Here is a 17527-nt window from a genome sequence, read left to right as displayed (position 1 = left end):
TACTGACTGGCAGTGCCCCCAGCAGAATGTCAGTGCCCTGAGGGCAGGGACCTGTCTGTCTGTCTGGTTCTTGCCGGCATCTAGAGCAGTGGCTGGAACACAGTAGGTGCTCGAGACATATCTGTGGAACAAATGGGTGATGCCATTACCAAAGTAATGAGCCTGGTCCCTGAGGAGGCGCAGGGCACGGGGATGGGGCCGAGACAGACACAAGTCCCTGGGCCTCGTACACTCACTCCCTGGAAGTCTGACCTTGACGCCTGGGGAGAAAATGGGTCTTCAGAGACTGAATCTGGCTGTTCAGCAAGTAAGCTGGTGTGTGTCCCAGCACCACAAAAGGTACCCCCACTGTGAACGCCCAGGCCCTCCCCACTGCAGGGGGGCCCACCCAGCCACATGGCCTACGCTGGGAATCTCAGGAAGTGGCAGCGTATCCTGGCAAAAGCCAAATCACATGGGGGGTGCCTCTGGAAATCCATGAGCCCCCACAATGGGTAAAAGCCCATAAAGACACAGATCCAGTGGGGGGGACGCCTTTGGAAGTGGGGCCTGGATTCAGCAGCGTCTGTGGAGGGTGGAGGGGGCAGCCCTGCTCTCCTTCGTTCCTCCAGGTATAGCGCCGTCCCCGCCACCAGGCCTCTGCATGGACTGTGCCCTTAGCCTGGGTCCTGAAGAGCCCCCTGCCCCCTCAACCTTCACCTTGTTATCCCTTCCTCTTCCTTCAAACTGCAGGTCCATGGCCGGGCACAGTGGCTCATGCCTGTAATCCCAGCACTTTGGGAGGCCGAGGCAGGTGGATCACCTGATGTCAGGAGTTCGAGACCAGCCTGGCCAACATGGCAAAACCCCATCCCTACTAAAAAAATACAAAAATTAGCTGGGCGTGGTGGCATGTGCCTCTAGTCCCAGCTACTTGGGAGGCTGAGGCACGAGAATCACTTGAACCCAGGGGGCGGAGGTTGCAGTGAGTCAAGATCACGCCACTGCACTCCAGCCTGGGCGACAGAGTGAGACTCTGTCTGAAAAAAACCCTGCATGTCCCGTGCCTTCCCCTTGACAGCATCTGTCACAGCTGTAATTTTACCTTTGTCCTTATAGTCCTTAATTAGTATGTCTCCTGCAATGAACGGGCAGCCCCACGAGGACAGGGCCTGTCTCTCCTAGCCACTGCTTTGTCCTCAGCAGAGGCCTGGCGCAGTACAGGGGCTCAGCAGGCCTGTACTGGTGGTTAAGAGCCGACTGCCCAGTCCCAGGTACTGGCTCTACTACTCCAAGCTGTGTGCCCCTGGACAAGTGACTCAACCTCTCTGGGCCTCAGTGTCCTCATCTGCAAACTGGGGGTAGTGATAGTCCCTACCTCCTGAGCATGTTGGACGAGCGAATAAGACGACACATGTAAAACATTTACAACAGTGACTGGTGCCGAGTGGGGCCTCACTGCAGGCTCGCTGCTGTTATCATTACTGCCATTCTTGCTGCTGAATGATGAATGAATGAATGAACAAACACACTACAGAGGATGCCGGGCATGGTCCCTTCTGCCGAGCAAATATGCTAGTCTTACCTTCTCCAGGGTTGGGAGGGAGGAGCCTGATGGGCTGTTATTGTCTGATAACAGGTCTGCCTCTCCCACTGGACTGGGAGACCCAGGAGGGCAGGGCCTGGGGCCATCTCTGTGTCCCCAGGCTTGCCCAGCGCAGAGAGTGTGGCTCAACGAAGAGATGATGCTTCCTTTACCCAGCTAGGCCCAGGCTGGCGCTCAGAGCCCCCAGTGATGCCAGGGCCAAGCCCTCCTGCCCCGAATCTGGCCCAGCACAAAAGGGCACAGACACAAAGGGCACTGCTGGTGCCCTTCACCCCCCAGAGGTACTCAGGGTGGGGATGGACACCACAACAGAGAGTGTGTGGGAGCCCATACGGCCTGGGAAATCAGAGCAGACGTCATTTATTCCTCGCCTGAGGCTGGGCAGGGGGAAGGGGGTGATGTGGCAGGAAAGAGGCCCTGCCCCTCTCAGGCTCCAGCACCCAAGCCCTCTCACTGTCTACCTCCCCTGCCATGCAACACACAAGGCCGTGCACAGACGCCAGGACATACACCAGGCAGCAACCACGGCCTCTCCTCACAGACCCAACACACAGCAGCGAGCGAAGCCATCCCGCAACACATGCATGCTCACACATGCGCGCACACACATGCACACACACGCACACCCACACATGCACATACATGCACGCTCACACACATGCACACTCACAAACATGCACACATGTGCACACACGCACGCTCACACATGCACGCACGCACTCACACAATGCTCACATGCATGCACACACATGCACACACACACATGCATGCTCACACACACGCTCACAAATACATGCTCACATACATGCACACTCACACACATGCATACACACATGCATGATCCCTAGACACAGATGCATGTGAGGACATGCCAGAGCATGCAAGATGTCCGCAGCTGACACCACATAGAGCCGAGTCCTAAGACCATCACACAGACATGCAGATACATACCCAGCCACACAAACCACAGGCCTCCAGGCACATGAACTGGTCACATGGAAAGCTCCCGGGCCATTCTTCTCCAATATTTATCTTAGGCCAAAAAAAGAAAACTTCCCGGCTAGCCGGCAACAGCAGCAATCCACCCTCAACCCTACAACATCCTGAGCACCTCGCGGCGGCCCGTACAGGACCATGGGCTCAGGAGGCTGGTGGCCAGGGGTCAGTGCCTTGCTTGCCGTGGGGCAGGGGAAAAGGACATTTACCAAGAGCCTCCGTTCATGTCTCTAGAATATGGGGCACCAGCAGAGCGTGCCCCAGAGGGAGCTTCTGAGACTTCAGTGGGAGAAGGTGGGGGAGCGGCTCTTAAAGCCAGCCTGGCTCAGAGTACATGCGCAGCAAATGGGAAGGCCGCGGCTCAGCCAGCCTGCACATGGGCCCCAGAAGAGCCATGGATGGACCGTGGACTGCGACCCTTTCATACACACTGCAAAGACTCGTGCACCCAGAGATGCAGAGACTCCCAAAGAGATCCACACATAGATACACAGGGACACGTGTGTATACACACAATGCCGCAGACACTCCATGACTTCGAGGGAAAGCCGCACTGCACCCCAGGACACACACGCACCTAGGAATAACCCCCAAGATACAAAGCTACACTAGGAGGCACCCCCCCGACCCCAAAACCACACACAGTAGGCAAGGAGACCTCCATGGACCTAGGCACACCCAGTCAACTCCAGGGTCACCCAGAGTGACTGAGTGAGGCACAGTCTCACGGAAACTTCTGCCCTCGTGCAAGCCAGACCCCAGGAGCGTGCTCCCACAGAGAGGCTCAGGGACCTATGCTCAGATGCCTGCAAGTCCCCAGCAGACAGGCACCTGCCATCTCGCACACATGGAAACACAGTGACCCCGCTCCAACCCCAAGAAAGGTGTGGCCTTCGCACATGCTCACACTGGCTCCAGTGGCCAGGGGCAGACCCTCCTTCCCTGGCAGCCAGTCTAGCCCTCCCCCTCCCCTCCCGAGGCCTGGCCAGCTCACCTCCACCACGCTCTTTCCCACTTCCTGGGCCACCCTCAATGGGGCGGGCCTGTGGACAGACAGGCTTCCAGCTGGGAAAGCAGAGTAGATCCAGGGCTCCCCAGGCCCTCAACATGGGCACCCACCGAGGAGGGCTGCCTGGGCTCTATGCTCCAGCCTGCAGGGCAGCGGTGGTGACGCGGCCAGGAGTTGAGCCTCGGCTGTGGTTTCCACCCACGGAGGGCGGGAGGGAGGCGGGGCTGGGCCTGGAGCTGGGGTGGGTGGGCCTGGGCCACGTGGCTCATAGCTGCCTGGACAGAGGGCAGGGCTGGGCGGGGACCCCAACCACAGCCTTTGCTTCAGCAGGGTCAGCCTCCCACCAACAGGCACACCCCGCCTCACCCCCCTATGCCAGGCTAGGTGCCAGGGGCTGGAGGGGGTGACTACACAGCAAGGCTGAGTACCTGCAAGCGGCTGGCCAGGCGGCTAAGGGGCAGCCAGGTTTGAAACAAGGGACCAGGGTATGTACGTGGGGGTGGCTGGGGAGTGACAGGGGCCACTAGGTGCAGGATAGAGCCCTGGGGAGAGGGGTGGGTGGGCTCTCTGATATGGAGGCAGAACTGGAGAGCTGGAACTTGCTTCTCCTCCACCCCGACCAAGGCTGGGATTCTAGCAAGTGCCCAGCATGGGCTGGAGGAAAGGGGCCACTCTGCCCCCCTCACCCATGAGGAGGAATCTGAGACTTAGCCTGACCGGGGGAGGGGCGAGGTCAGGGGAGACCACGGTGAAGCCCCCATATCGCCATCCTGAGGTGTGAGAATAGGGCCGGGAGGTGTGGATGGCAGGAAAGGGAGGAGGGAGAGGAGGCCAAGAAGGTGGAACGCCATGCTGGCGCCGCCTCACCAGGATGAAACTAACCCTGCTGAAAAAAGGCAGCTCAACGTGACAAGGCCATATTCTGGGCCAGGCCCTGCTCTTGGCACAGGCATGGGCTCCGGGGCTTTGCCTCACTGCTGCCCTAAATGAGACAGGTCCTTCAGCAGGCCCCTTTCATCATGGAGGAAACTGAGGCGCGGAGAGGCGGAGTGACTTGATGCCCGAGGGGAGGTCAGGCGCTGGGACTCCCAGGCTGGATGTCTGTCCCGGTGTCTGTGCCCTTAACCAGCTGCTCCAAGCATGAGGCTGATGTGATCAGAACCCCCGTTCAGGAACAGAAGAAAAAGATGCTCCACAGCACCCCTCCCTCCCCTTCAAATCCCACCTCCAGTGCAAAGGCTGGCCCGAGGCAGAGCTCGCAGGTGTAACTGTTTCTCCTGTGAACACTGTCTGTTCCCCTCGAGGCCTCCGGAGGGCTGCTTGGTTCATCCCTTCTCACCCTCCGGCCCCACTTGAGGCACCTGCTCCTCCACGAAGCCCTCCCTGCCACCCCAGGCTGGGTCAGGTATCCTCTGGGCTCCAGCCCTGTGCACTCCACCCTGCACCTCCCCATGCCAGCCCTGAGCACCCAGGCTGTCACTGTCTGCAGCTTGCCCGCCTCTCATTCATTCACTGAGCTCCAGGCACATACCAGGCACACCTGTGGGAGGCCCTGATAGTTCAGCACTGAACAAACTCCACAAAACTTCCTGCCCACGGGAGTTGACACCCTAGAGGGGCTCTACCAGGGACTCCAGTCTGGTAGGCGGTAGGGACCAAGGCTGCTGGGTGCCCGGACCCAGGATGGGCACCCAGGCCATGGTGAATCCAGGGACAACAGTGAGCAAGCGCCCCGGCACACAGCAGACAGACGCACCTGGGTCCTTCCCACTACCCTGCTCTGGCACACCCCTGCCCCTGCAGCCAACTCCTCAAGGGCAGATGTTATCTCCACACACAGAACGTGGGCTGGGAGGCCAGCGCTTGCTCTCAGGGCCTGGAACTCCCATCCCCACCTCTGTCCACCCCCTGTCACAGTGAGGAGGAAGTCCAAGGAGGGGCTGGGCCAGGCTCTGGACCACAGCAGGGCAGGTCTAGGGGCCTAGATCCAGAAGTCCCAGATCTCAGGCCACTGCCTCCCCATGGGGTGGGGGGTGGGGCATTTGTCGAGTAACCACCCGCAGAGGAGCCACGTGGGGCAGCTCTGCAAACCAGACGGGCAGGTTTGGGCTCTGGCGGGGAGTGGATGGGGATTGGACAGCTCTGGACAGCCACAGGAAACGAGGTCCCCAATGGACGGAGAGGGAGCTGCACTGGGCGATTCTCAGTGATTCTCACTTTACCACATTTACACTCATCTACCCCTTTTCCTTCTTTTCCTTCTCTCTGTCTTTGTAATACAGGCACACGGTTCAAAAGACAAAAGGCACCAAAGGGTAAACTGTGACAGGATGTCCTCCTTCCACCCTGGCCCAGCTCAGCCCTGGAGGCAACCGCTACTAGACTTTCAGGTTTTTTCTTTTCCTTTCTGAGAGATCCTACGTGTGTGTATGGGTACACACATGATTACCTGCTTTTTAAAAAAACAAGAGAAATGGCAGCCACATGACACACAATATTCTGTACTTTGCTCTTCTCGAAAACATTCCGTGGCTCTCCCACGCTGCTGGCATTTGGCAGGAGCTTAGCAGCATCGAGTGGAAGTGGGGACACACGCTTGACCTAGCAAGAGCTCTCCTGGGTACACACTCCAGCATAACGCAGGCCCATGGGGCAGGGAGCACACGCGAGAAGAGACTAGAAACAAGACAAATGCTCGTCCCCAGGAGGTGGTGAATGAAGGCTCCATGGCACCGCACATGATAGGGAGAATGAATGAATGAATGACTACAGCTACATGTGGATGAGCATCAAAGAAGACGCCACACAGAAGAGGCAAAAACATCGAACAATACTCCATCCTCGGACTTTAAGGTTCAAAGCCAGGCAAAAGGAAACTGCTTCAGGCTGCATACAGAGGTGGCAAACAGAGAGAAAAGCAAGCATATGATGGCCTCAAAAGTCAGGAGAGTTGGACTGGGCACGGTGGCTCATGCCTGTAATCCCAGCACTTTGGGATGCCGAGGCGGGAGGATTACTTGAGGCCAGGAGTTCGAGACCAGCCTGGCCAACATTGTGAAACCCCATCTCTACATTTTTAGAGAATTAAAATTAAGGCCAGGTGGGGTGGTTCACACCTGTAATCCCTGCACTTTGAGAGGCCAAGGCGAGTGGATCGCCTGAGGTCAGGAGATCAAGACCAGCCTGACCAACATGGTGAAGCTCCGTCTCTACTAAAAATATAAAAATTGGCGTGGCGTGGCGGTAGGCGCCTGTAATCCCAGCTACTCGGGAGGCTGAGGCAGGAGAATCACTTGAACCTGGGAGGCGAAGGTTGCAGTGAGCCGAGATGGTGCCGCTGCACTCCAGCCTGGGTGACAGAGTGAGACTCTGTTTCAAAAAAATAAAACAACAACAACAAAACACAAAAATTAGCCGGGTGTGGTGGCACATGCCTGTAATTCCAGCTACTCGGGAGGCTGAGGTACGAGAATTGCTTGAACCCAGAAGGTGGAGGTTGCAGTAAGCTGAGATTGTGCCACTGCACTTCAGCCTGGGTGATGGAGTGGGACTCTGTCTCAAAAAAAATTAAAATTAAAAAGAGTGGATGCTTCTGGGGGAAGGGAGGGACTGGGAGCTTTTGGGGGTTGGGGGAGGCTGGCACCATCTGTTTCTTCACCTGGAGGGGTGGCTACATAGATTTTTCCCTTTATAGTAATTGGTTTTGCTATACATTTATGTTTTATGCAATTTTCACTGTGTATCCTAACAATTTATAATTATGATTTGAAAGAAAAAAATTGATATATCTATACAATTCTCCCTCGGTAGCTGAGGGAGATTGGCTCCAGAACCCCCGCAGGAGGTACCACATCCAGGGATGCTCACGTCCCTCAGTCAGCCCTCCATAACCGCGGATGGAAAAGCTGGCCCTCCATAGTAAATTTTCAGTCCTTCGTTGGTTGAATGGGTGGGTGCAGAACCCGTGATCCTGAGGGCCCATGATACCCAGGGCCAACTATATATACAGCAGTTCCCCTTATCTGCAAGGCGTATGTTCCAAGACCCCCAATGGGATGCCTGAAACTGTGGATAACATTGAACCCGATTGCCATCAGTTGGAACACGTTTCTGTTCCTGTCTTCCACCCCCCCAAACGTAATGCCTTTTTCATCTTAACCAAGCCCTTATGCCCTGTGGCTGTTGACTTTCGCAGTTTGAGGTGTGACAGTAAACCCAGCACAAATTCTTTCCCTTCTTCGCAATTTCATGGATAGAAGGTTCGTTCTTACTGTAAAGCTTAGTAACCTTAGCATACAATTTTTTTTCTTTTCCTTATTAGGTTCAATACTTTCCCCTTTTTCACTTAAAGGAAGCACTTTACAGCTTCTCTTTGGCATATCCAAATTGCCAGCATCGCTACTCTTGCACTTTGGGGACAATGTTAAGTGAAATAAAGGCTACCTGAACATAAGCACTGTGATACGGCAACAGTGGATGTGAGAACCGAGAAAGCTACTGAGTAGCCACAGATGGGTAGCACATACACCATGGATATGTGGGGTAAGAAAGGTGATTCACGTCCCGGGCGGGACAGAGTGGGATGGCTCAAGATTTCATCACGAGGCTGTGCAGTGGCTCCTGCCTGTAATCTCAGCACTTTGGGAGGCTGAAGCAGGAGGATCATTTGAGCCCAGGAGTTCGAGACCAGCTGAGCAATATAGGGAGACCTCGTCTCTACAAAAAAAAAAAAAATCACGATAACTCAGAATGGTGCACAATTTAAAATGTATGAGCTGTTGGGCCGGCGCAGTGGCTCATGCCTGTAATCCCAGCACTTTGGGTGGATTCCTTGAGGTCAGGAGTTTGAGACCAGCCTGGCCAACATGGTGAAACCTTGTCTCTACTAAAAATACAAAAATTAGCTGCGCGTGGTGGCGCATGCCTGTAATCCCAGCTACTTGGGAGGCTGAGGTGGGAGAATCGCTTGAAACCAGGAAGCGGAGGTTGCAGTGAACTGAGATGGTGCCACTGCACTCCAGCCTGGGTGACAGAGAGTCCATCTCAAAAAAATAAATAAATAAAACATATGAATTGGTTATTTCTGGAATTTTCCATGTACTTTTGGGCCATGGTTGGTCACAGGTAACTGAAACCACAGACATGCTGCATATATATGTGGGTCTTGGTGATCTTTCCCTGCCTTGATCTTGGCAGAGCACTGCCTTGCTGCTTTGGCAGCTGTGTGGAAGGACCGTGATGTCTGGAGCCAGTCCCCATCGGGCCAGAGTGGTGGTTTCCTGTCTTTTGCTCTTATAAATGGTGCGGCAACACTCACTGTGTGCAGCTGTCATTTCACAGGTGTGCAAGTTTGTCTGTGGGTAAATGTCCAGTGAAGTTCACCACTGCCAAGTGGCCCTGCGTGAGGCCTGTCCCCACTCACAGCCCCTCGGCGGTGCCAGGGCCTATCTCCCCTCGGCCTTGCAGCACGGGGCGTGGCCAGTCTCTCTGATCTCTGCTGATATGTGAGGTGTGGCCCCCCTCAGCCTAGTTTTCATTTGTATTTTTCTATTTAGTAGGGTTGAGCATTTTTCATATTTATAAAAGCCATCAGAATGTCCTCTTCCGCTAAGTGTCTATTCAAAGCCTTTGCCTTTTTCTGCTAGGTCAGGGAGACCTTTGTAAATCTAATCTGATTGTATCCTCTCCTGCTAAAAACCTACTCAGGCCCACAGAGCTAAAGCCGTCTCCTCACCGAGGTCGCGCCCACCTCTCTGTCCTCATTTTTGCACACTCTCCGCCCCCAACCACCTGCTCCGGCCACAGGCAGCCTCCTTCCCACGTTCATGGCGTCCACCGACAGAAATCTAATGCACGTCTGTCACGTGCCGCCTGTGCGGGGGCAGAAGTGCAGTGTGGGCCCTACCCCATCAGGCTTATAGTCAAGCACCACACGCAAAAAATGTGAAAGTCCAGCGGACACACACTGGCTGGAGGGATGGGTGGGCAGCAGGCCTGAACGGGGACGGTGTGGTGGAGGCAGATCATGAGAGAGCAAGGGGAGACAACGTGGGTGCCAAGGACAGGCCTGGGTTTTTACATTTTTTTAATTTTTATTAATTTATTTTTTTTAGAGACAAGGTCTCACTACGTTGTCCAGGCTGGTCTTGAACTCCTGAGCTCAAGCCATCTGCCCACCTCGGCCTCCCCAAGTGCTGGGATTACAGGTGGGAGCCACTCCACCTGGTCCAGGCCTGGGTTTTACAGATGTAACTTTGGTTGCCCTGTGAAGGACGGAATCAAGGGGCCTGAGTGGGCGTGAGGATGAGTGACAAGGAGGCAGCGCTGTTTGGGCAACTGTGAGGCAGCCAGGACAGTGGCAGTGGAGAGAGGGGGACAGACCTGGGCTATGTCTACCAAGAAAAGGCAATGCTCGCTGATGAGTCAGACACGGGCTGAGGATGAGGTGGTGTCAAGGACGACTCTGAACCTAGGCCCAACACAGTGCCATCTTCTACACGCGGAACCCTAGAGGAGCTCCAAAATGCCAGCTCCCAGAGCTCTTTTTTCAAGAGCTCAATCTTGAAAAAGAGAAAAGAGAGAGGAAGCCAGAGGAATCCCTCTCCCAGCGCTGCAGCAAGTAACCCAGATGGGGTGGGACAGTCACAGCAACAGAGCAGCGGAACAGGACAGAGAACTCAGAAACAGATCTACACCAACATACCTAGCTGGTTTCAAAAATTTATTTTTATTATGGTAAAATATACAGCATATTTATCATTGTTAACCATCTGTAAGTATACAATTCAGTGGCATTAAATATATCCACAATGTTGTATAACCATCACCACCATCTATATTCAAACATGTTTATCATTCCAACAAAAACTATGTACCCAATAAACAACAGCTCCTTGTTCCCCTCAAACCCTGATAACCTCTGTTCTACTTTCTTTCTCTCTATATATACATAAACATATATTTTATTATTTATTTATTTAGAGACAGAGTCTCTCTCTGTTGCCTGGGCTGGAGTGCAATGGTGCAATCTCAGCTCACTGCAACCTCCGCCTCCCGGGTTCTAGCCATTCTCATGCCTCAGCCTTCCATGTAGCTGGGACTACAGGCGCCCACCACCACGCCCAGCTAATTTTTTATATTTTTAGTAGAGACAGGGTTTCATCGTGTTAGCCAGGATGGTCTCGATCTCCTGACCTCTTGATCTGCCAGCCTCGGCCTCCCAAAGTGCTGGGATTACAGGCGTGAGCCACCGCGCCTGGCCTATATACATATATTTTAAAAGAGACCGGGTCTCACTATGTTGTCCAGGCTGAACTCAACCTCTTAGGCTCAGGTGATCCTCCTGCCCCCGAATAGCTGGGACTCCATGCATGCTTTCTGTCTCTTTGTATTTGCCTACTCTAGGTCCTTCGTACAAGTGGAATCATAGAGGATTTCTCCTTCTGTGTCTGGCTGATTTCACTAAGCATAATGTTTTCAAGACCATCCACATGATAGCTTTCTACCCAAAATTCCATTCCTTTTTATGGCTGAATAATATTCCATCATGTATACCATCTTTTGTTCCTCCATTCATCCACTGATGGACACGGAGCTGTTTCCACCTTTTAGCTCTTGTGAATAATGCTGTGATGAGCCTGGGTGTACAAATATCTGTTCGAGTCCCTGCTTTCAATTCTTTTGGACGAACAGTTGGGAGCGGAATTGCTGGGTCACAAGGTAATTCTATGCCGAACAGCGACAGCACCATTTTACATTCTCACAAGCAATGCACGGGGCTCCAATTTCCCCACATCCTCCCAACACTTGTTATTTTTGTTTTTTTGACAGCAGCCATCCTAGTAGGTGTGATGTAGTATCTCATCGTGGTAACTGATTCTTGTGAAAGAAGCCTAAGCAATTCAACAGAGGAAAGACAGCATTTTCAACAAATGCTGGCTGGAACAACTGGACATCCACATGCCAAACGGGGGAAAAAAAGAAGTTTAATCCAAAACTTATACTTTGTACAAAAATTAACTCATAATGGATCACAGACTTAAATGTAAAACTATCAAACTTTTATGGAAAAAAAAAAAGCAGGCAGGGTGTGGTGGCTCACGCCTGTAATCCCAGCACTTTGGGAGGCTGAGGCAGGCGGATCACGAGGTCAGGAGTTCAAGACCAGCTTGGCCAATATGGTGAAATCCTGTGCCTACTAAAAACACAAAAATTAGCCAGGCATGGTGGTGGGCGCCTCCCTAGTCCCAGCTACTTGGGAGGCTGAAGCAGAAGCATCACTTGAACCCAGGAGGCAGAGGCTGCAGTGAGCCCACTCCAGCCTGGGCAACAGAGCGAGACTCTCTCTCAAAAAAAAAAAAAAAAAAAAAGCAGAAGAAACTTATTTGGTACCTAAGACAGGGCACAGGGTTCTGAGACTTGACAGCAAATGCACAATCCATAAAAGAAAAAAATTAATACAAAATTAAAAACTTTTGCTCTGCAAAAGTCCGTATGAAAAGTATTAAAAGACATGCTACAAACTGGGAGAGAATATTTGCAAACCACGTATCTGACAAAAGACTAGTATGTAGAATAAAGATCTCGCCAGGCACGGTGGCTCACGCCTGTAATCCCAGCACTTTGGGAGGCCGAGGCAGGCGGATCACCTGAGGTCAGGAGTTCGAGACCAGCCTGGCCAACATGGTGAAACCCCGTCTCTACTAAACATACAAAAATTAGCTGGACGTGGTGGCACATGCCTGTAATCCCAGCTACTCGGGAGGCTGAGGCAGAAAAATCGCTCGAACCCGGGAGGCGGAGGCCACAGTGAACCGAGATCACACCACTGTACTCCAGCCTGGGCGACAGAGTGAGACTCCATCTAAAAAAAAAAAAAAAAGAGAGAGAATAGATAAAGATCTCATATGAGAACCTGGTGGGGCTAAGAAAAAAAAAAAGAACAACAGTGAAAACTCAAAACTCAACAGCAAAAAAAAAAAAAAAAAAAAAAAACCCGAAAACAAACAATCCAATAAGAAAATGAGCAGAAGACATGAAGAGACCTTTGACTGAAGAGGATACACAGATGGCAGATAAGCACGTGAAAAGCTAATCAACATCATTACCATTAGAGAAATGCAAATTAAAGCCACAATGAGTTATCACTGCACACTTATTAGAAGAGCTAAAATAAAAAATAGTGACAACACCAAATGCTGGTGAGGATGTGGGGAACCTGCTGCTGGTGATAATATAACATGGTACAGCCACTCTAGAAAATGGTTTTGATGGTTTTCTTAAAACATGCAACCAGCACGCTGCCCAGCAATTGTACCTCTGGGTATTGGCCCCAGAGAAACAAAAACTGACATTCACACGAAACCCTCTTTGTCGAGGTTTATAGTGGCTTTGTCTGTAATAGCCAAAAAATTAGAAAAACCCAGATGTCCTCCAACGGGAAATGGTTAAACAAACGGTGGGGCATCCAGACCACGGAATACTACTCAGTAGTCACTATCAGCACCACAATGCGGATGCACCTCCAGAGAATCATGCTGAGGGGATAAAGTCAATGCAAAAAGGGTGCATACTGGGTGGCTCCATTTACATAACATTCTTGAATTGACAAAATCCTAACAATGGGGGAATAGACAGATGAGTGGTTGCCAGAGGTTAGGGATGGGCAGGGGAAGGGTGTAGCTATGAGAAGGTATTAGGAGGGATCCTTGTGACTGACAATGTCAATGTCAATGACATTGTCATTGACAATTGACAATGACAATTGTCAATTGACAATGACAGTGTCAATGTCAGTTGACACTCTGGTATCTGGTACTACAGTCTCGCAGGTGTTACCATTGGGGAAAACTGGGTAAAGGTGCGCCAGACCTCCTCTCTGTATTATTTCTTTCTTTTCTTTTCTTTTCTCCCTCTCTCCTTCTCTCCTTCCTTCCTTCCCCCCTCTCCCTCCCTCCCTCTCTCCCTTTCTCCCTCTCTCTCTTTCTCTCTTTCTTTTGCAACAGAGCCTTAATTCTGTTGCCCAGGCTGGAGTGCAGTGGTGCCATTAACAGCTCACAGCAGCTTCAACCTCCCAGGCTCAAGTGATCCACCTCGGCCTCCCAAGTAGCTGGGACTCCAGGTGCACAGCATCACAGCCAGATAAGCTTTTCTATTTTGTGAAGAGATGGTGTCTCCCCAGGTTGCCCAGGCTGATCTCGAACTCCTAGGCACAAACGATCCTCCTGCCTTGGCCTCCCCAAATGGGGTGGAATTACAGGCGTGAGCCACTGCGCCTGGCCATTCTGAGTTACTTCTTACAACTGTAGGAGAATCTACAATGATCTCAGAATTTAAAGTTTTCTTAAAAATAGTAATGGTTTATTTAAAATGCCAGACCCTTTCCCAACTTTTAGCCTTTGAACATGCTATTTGCTCTCCTTGGGACAATGTTCCGCAAACTAACCCTGCTCCTCTTTCAGGCCTCAGCTCTGAAGTCTCCTCCTCCAGGAGGCCTTCCTTGATTTCCTAGGCTGGAGCCAGGGCCTCCCACAGTCCTCTGGGTCTTCTCCCATCACAGCTGTCACACTCTGGCCTGTGCTTTCCAAGGTCACTCTGGTTTGTCACTGCCTAGTACCATGTCTGTCTCCCTCACTGTATTATAAGCTCCATGAAGGCAGGACCTCAGCCTGACAGGGCTGGACTCAGAGGAGGCAAAAAGTTACTATCAACAAAAATGAGTGAATGAATGGCAAGCATGACAAAGATACTAACAGCTAAGGCTCATTAAGAGGCTTCCACACACTAGCTTCTACGAAGGCTTTGCATGGATGAAATAACCCTCACACAATTCCATTTTACAAATGGGGAAACTGAGGCCAACAGAGGTGGGGCAGGGGTCAACACATGCCCAGGGCCGTCCAGCTAGAAGGTGGCGGAGCTGGGTGGCAATCCCAGGTCAGCTAGATATAGAGCCTTTGAGAGTAAACTCCCCGCCAGAGGGCCTCTCCAAGAAAGGCTGTGTGAGCCTGGCAAACAGGGCGGGTGAGGGTGGGCAGTGGGCGGGCGCAGGGGGAGGGCAGTATGGGAAGAGAAGAGGCCCTCCTGCCCCAGCTGCTGATCTATGCCCTCCTCCAGAGAAGGCCCCTCCGTGGTGCACACAGGCCCCAGGCGGCACCAGCGCCCCATTACACCTTACATAAGCTCAGGGAGGGCCCCTTCACATCACGGCTGTAACTGGGTCCTATGTGGTGCCCTAGGAAGCCAACGGCGCTCTACCACTTCCACTGGAGGTGGCCGCCTCAAACCCACGTGGAGCAGGGGGCTGCGGGCCTGGGTGAGAGGAGCCCAGAGCGTCCTCCTGGGGCCCCCCCAGGACAGAGCTGCTTTCCTCTGGCCAGGGGTAGGGGTGCCCTGACCCCCGCTGGGAACCATTCCTTCTGGCACAGAGCTTCATTACTCCACCCAGAGAAATCTCAAGAACAAAATATTGAGAGAGTTGCAGCCAAGTGCCGCTGGCCTCGTACCATTTACACGCAGTTTAAAATCCTGCAGAACAATGCGGGACACTGTTTAGGGAAGCAGACGCAGGGCCAGCGACGCCTGGGGCCCTGGGGGAGGCACCTGGGGGCTGCACCCACAGCAAGCATTTCGTCTTTTAGCTGGGCAGCGGGCCTGAGGGTGGTCAGCAGGTGATTCTCTCTTCTCTTGGGGGTGTCTGAAATCTTTCACAATTCACCAAAAAAGAGGAACAATGAAAAGAAAGGGAGGAGAATGTTTTTGTTAGCACTGGGAAGGGCAGGTGAAGGAGAGGGCTTTCAGGGAGCTGGTGATGCCTGTCTTCTTGATCTGGGTGGTAGTTTCATGGCTGTTTGCTTTATAATTATTCATTAAACTGAACATGGAGGTTTTACACACTTTTCTGTACACATGTCAGATTTTACACCACCATGCAGGAAAAACCGGGAGAGCGATCCTGACAACTGAAAGCTTTCTCTGTATTTGCATGTGCCTGCAGTCTCTCCTCATTTCTTTACCGTCTCTCTTTACAATGAGCACAAGTGCACACACACACACACTCACACACATGCACACTTCCCAAAGCTGTTAACTTCCACCATAACCACAGCAGCATCCTCTGGCCCCTTGTAACTCCTGGCCTGTTTCCTGCAAGGAAGACAAAGGCCGGGAAGCAGCCGGCCCCTGAGCCCTCGGACTCATGCCACAACAGCCAGGTCTCTCCACATACCAGGCACTCTCAATCCTGCTCCAATCCCAGTCCCCAGGAAACCCTTCTGGCCTCCAGAACAAACCCAGATCAACAAGTCCCTGCCCTGGGGCACCACAGCTGGTCACCCAGAGTGGAAGGAGTTATTACTGAAGATTTGGGTCAAGCATCCCCCCGGCAGGGACGGCTTCTGGCTGGCTCATCGGTGCCCCGTGCTGGAGACAGGACAGCAGTGAGACCACTACAAAGTGTTACGTGCAGGCTCCATCCTGGTGCAAAAGAAGGCAGCGAGGAGGGTGCCGTTCACACGGTGTGTGAAGCAGGAGAGTGAAGCTCAGAGAGAAGACATGTCAGCCCTCAGTCACACGGCGAGTGTATCAGAACTGGGATTCCGTGGCAAGTCTGACCAGGACCAAAGTCCACTCACTTAACCATATCTATCTATCTATCTATCTATCTATCTAATCTAATCTATCTATCTATCTATCTGTCTGTCTGTCTGTCTGTCTGTCTATCTATCTATCTATCTATCTACCTGAGATAGGGTCTTGCTCGCTCTATCTTATCTATCTATCTATCTATCATCATAGGTTTTGCTCTGTCACCCAGGCTGGAGTGTAGTGGTGCAATCAGAGCTCACTGCAGCCTCCAACTCCTGGGCTCAAGCAATCCTCCCACCTCAGCCTCCTGAGTAGCTAGGACCCCATCATAGCTCACTGCAGCCTCCAACTCCTGGGCTCAAGCAATCCTCCCACCTCAGCCTCCTGAGTAGCTAGGACCACAGGCACATGCCACCACGCCCTTTTACATTTTAAATAATTTTTAAATTATTTTAAAACAATAATTTTAAAAATGTTTTGTAGAGCAGAGGTCTCACTATAGCCCAGGCTGGTCTCAAACTCCTGGGCTCAAGTGATCTGCCCACCTCAGCCTCCCAGAGTGCTGGGATGTGAGCCACTGTGCCCAGTCATTTTCTTTCTTTTATTCATTCATGCACTCAACAATTCTTTTTTTTTTTTTTTTTTTTTTTTTTTTTTTGAGACAGAGTCTTGCTCTGTCACCCAGGCTGGAGTGCATTGGTGTGATCTTGGCTCACTGCAACCTCCGCCTCCTGGGTTCCAGCGATTCTCCTGCCTCAGCCTCCCAAGTAGCTGGGATTACAGGCACCTGCCACCTCGCCAAGCTAATTTTTTTGTATTTTTAGTAGAGACGGGGTTTCACTGTGTTGGCCAGGCTCGTCTCGAACTCCTGACCTCAGGTGATCCACCCACCTTTGCCTCCCAAAGTGCTGGGATTACAGGCGTGAGCCACCACACCCAGCCTTTTTTTTTTTTTTTTTTTAATGCTTCTACCCAGTGAGCAACGACTCCTTAATATGCACTTAGCAGGTGCCAGGCACTGTTCTAGGCACCAGGGACACAGCAGTGAATAAGACAAGAGTCTCTGCTCTCCTGGAGTTGACATTCTAGTGGGAACACAATATACAAGTAAACAAGTGGGAGAAGGGACAGAGAGTGACAAGGTGCTCTTTCAGAGGGCACAGTCAGGGAGGTCTCTAAAGGGGTGGCGTCTGAGCAAAGACGGGATACAGGTGAGGAAGCCATGCAGAGTACCAGGGAACAGCACTGAGGGTGGAGGGCATGGTCAGTGAGGAGGCCCCCAGGACTGGAATCCGAGTGGCTGGAAGGGAGCAGAGAATGGAGCAGCTGAGGTCAAGGAGGTTTATGTTAAA

The 17527-nt window shown here is 52.3% G+C and overlaps 1 protein-coding gene and 1 long non-coding RNA gene across 12 annotated transcripts in view, besides 6 other annotated features; one reads left to right on the top strand and one right to left on the bottom strand.

Moving 5' to 3' along the window:
* The window catches only part of PAK4 (p21 (RAC1) activated kinase 4), a 57031-nt gene that overhangs the window by 22391 nt on the left and 17113 nt on the right, over positions 1-17527 (bottom strand). For 4 of the 11 annotated variants that reach the window (XM_047438034.1, XM_024451314.2, XM_011526317.3 and 1 more), the window contains exon 1: positions 3576-3777. The exons of the other annotated variants lie outside the window; for them this stretch is intronic. The gene's annotated coding sequence lies outside the window, so the exon portion shown is untranslated. Of the gene's footprint in view, positions 1-3575; positions 3778-17527 lie in introns of those variants that run through there. 11 annotated transcript variants of the gene reach the window in all.
* Positions 1346-2009: an enhancer, noted in NCBI's record as "H3K27ac-H3K4me1 hESC enhancer chr19:39649057-39649720 (GRCh37/hg19 assembly coordinates)". NCBI's record gives its function as "activates a minimal SCP1, AML or CMV promoter by ChIP-STARR-seq in primed H9 embryonic stem cells {active_cell/tissue: H9 hESC(primed)}" and the evidence as "EXISTENCE:reporter gene assay evidence [ECO:0000049][PMID:30033119]".
* Positions 2010-2675: an enhancer, noted in NCBI's record as "H3K27ac-H3K4me1 hESC enhancer chr19:39648391-39649056 (GRCh37/hg19 assembly coordinates)". NCBI's record gives its function as "activates a minimal SCP1, AML or CMV promoter by ChIP-STARR-seq in primed H9 embryonic stem cells {active_cell/tissue: H9 hESC(primed)}" and the evidence as "EXISTENCE:reporter gene assay evidence [ECO:0000049][PMID:30033119]".
* Positions 3342-4007: an enhancer, noted in NCBI's record as "H3K27ac-H3K4me1 hESC enhancer chr19:39647059-39647724 (GRCh37/hg19 assembly coordinates)". NCBI's record gives its function as "activates a minimal SCP1, AML or CMV promoter by ChIP-STARR-seq in naive H9 embryonic stem cells {active_cell/tissue: H9 hESC(naive)}" and the evidence as "EXISTENCE:reporter gene assay evidence [ECO:0000049][PMID:30033119]".
* LOC124904716 (uncharacterized) lies at positions 3875-8043 on the top strand. Its single transcript, XR_007067255.1, has 2 exons — positions 3875-4075; positions 5873-8043. It is a non-coding gene; the product is annotated as an uncharacterized LOC124904716 (long non-coding RNA).
* Positions 9486-9987: an enhancer, noted in NCBI's record as "H3K4me1 hESC enhancer chr19:39641079-39641580 (GRCh37/hg19 assembly coordinates)". NCBI's record gives its function as "activates a minimal SCP1, AML or CMV promoter by ChIP-STARR-seq in primed H9 embryonic stem cells {active_cell/tissue: H9 hESC(primed)}" and the evidence as "EXISTENCE:reporter gene assay evidence [ECO:0000049][PMID:30033119]".
* Positions 14345-15339: an enhancer, noted in NCBI's record as "H3K27ac-H3K4me1 hESC enhancer chr19:39635727-39636721 (GRCh37/hg19 assembly coordinates)". NCBI's record gives its function as "activates a minimal SCP1, AML or CMV promoter by ChIP-STARR-seq in primed H9 embryonic stem cells {active_cell/tissue: H9 hESC(primed)}" and the evidence as "EXISTENCE:reporter gene assay evidence [ECO:0000049][PMID:30033119]".
* Positions 15340-16336: an enhancer, noted in NCBI's record as "H3K27ac-H3K4me1 hESC enhancer chr19:39634730-39635726 (GRCh37/hg19 assembly coordinates)". NCBI's record gives its function as "activates a minimal SCP1, AML or CMV promoter by ChIP-STARR-seq in primed H9 embryonic stem cells {active_cell/tissue: H9 hESC(primed)}" and the evidence as "EXISTENCE:reporter gene assay evidence [ECO:0000049][PMID:30033119]".

Source organism: Homo sapiens, chromosome 19 (assembly GCF_000001405.40).
Source record: "Homo sapiens chromosome 19, GRCh38.p14 Primary Assembly".
Classification (NCBI taxonomy): Eukaryota; Metazoa; Chordata; class Mammalia; order Primates; family Hominidae; genus Homo; species Homo sapiens.
Note: the sequence above shows the minus strand (reverse complement) of the source record. Positions and strands in the feature narration are given on the sequence as shown.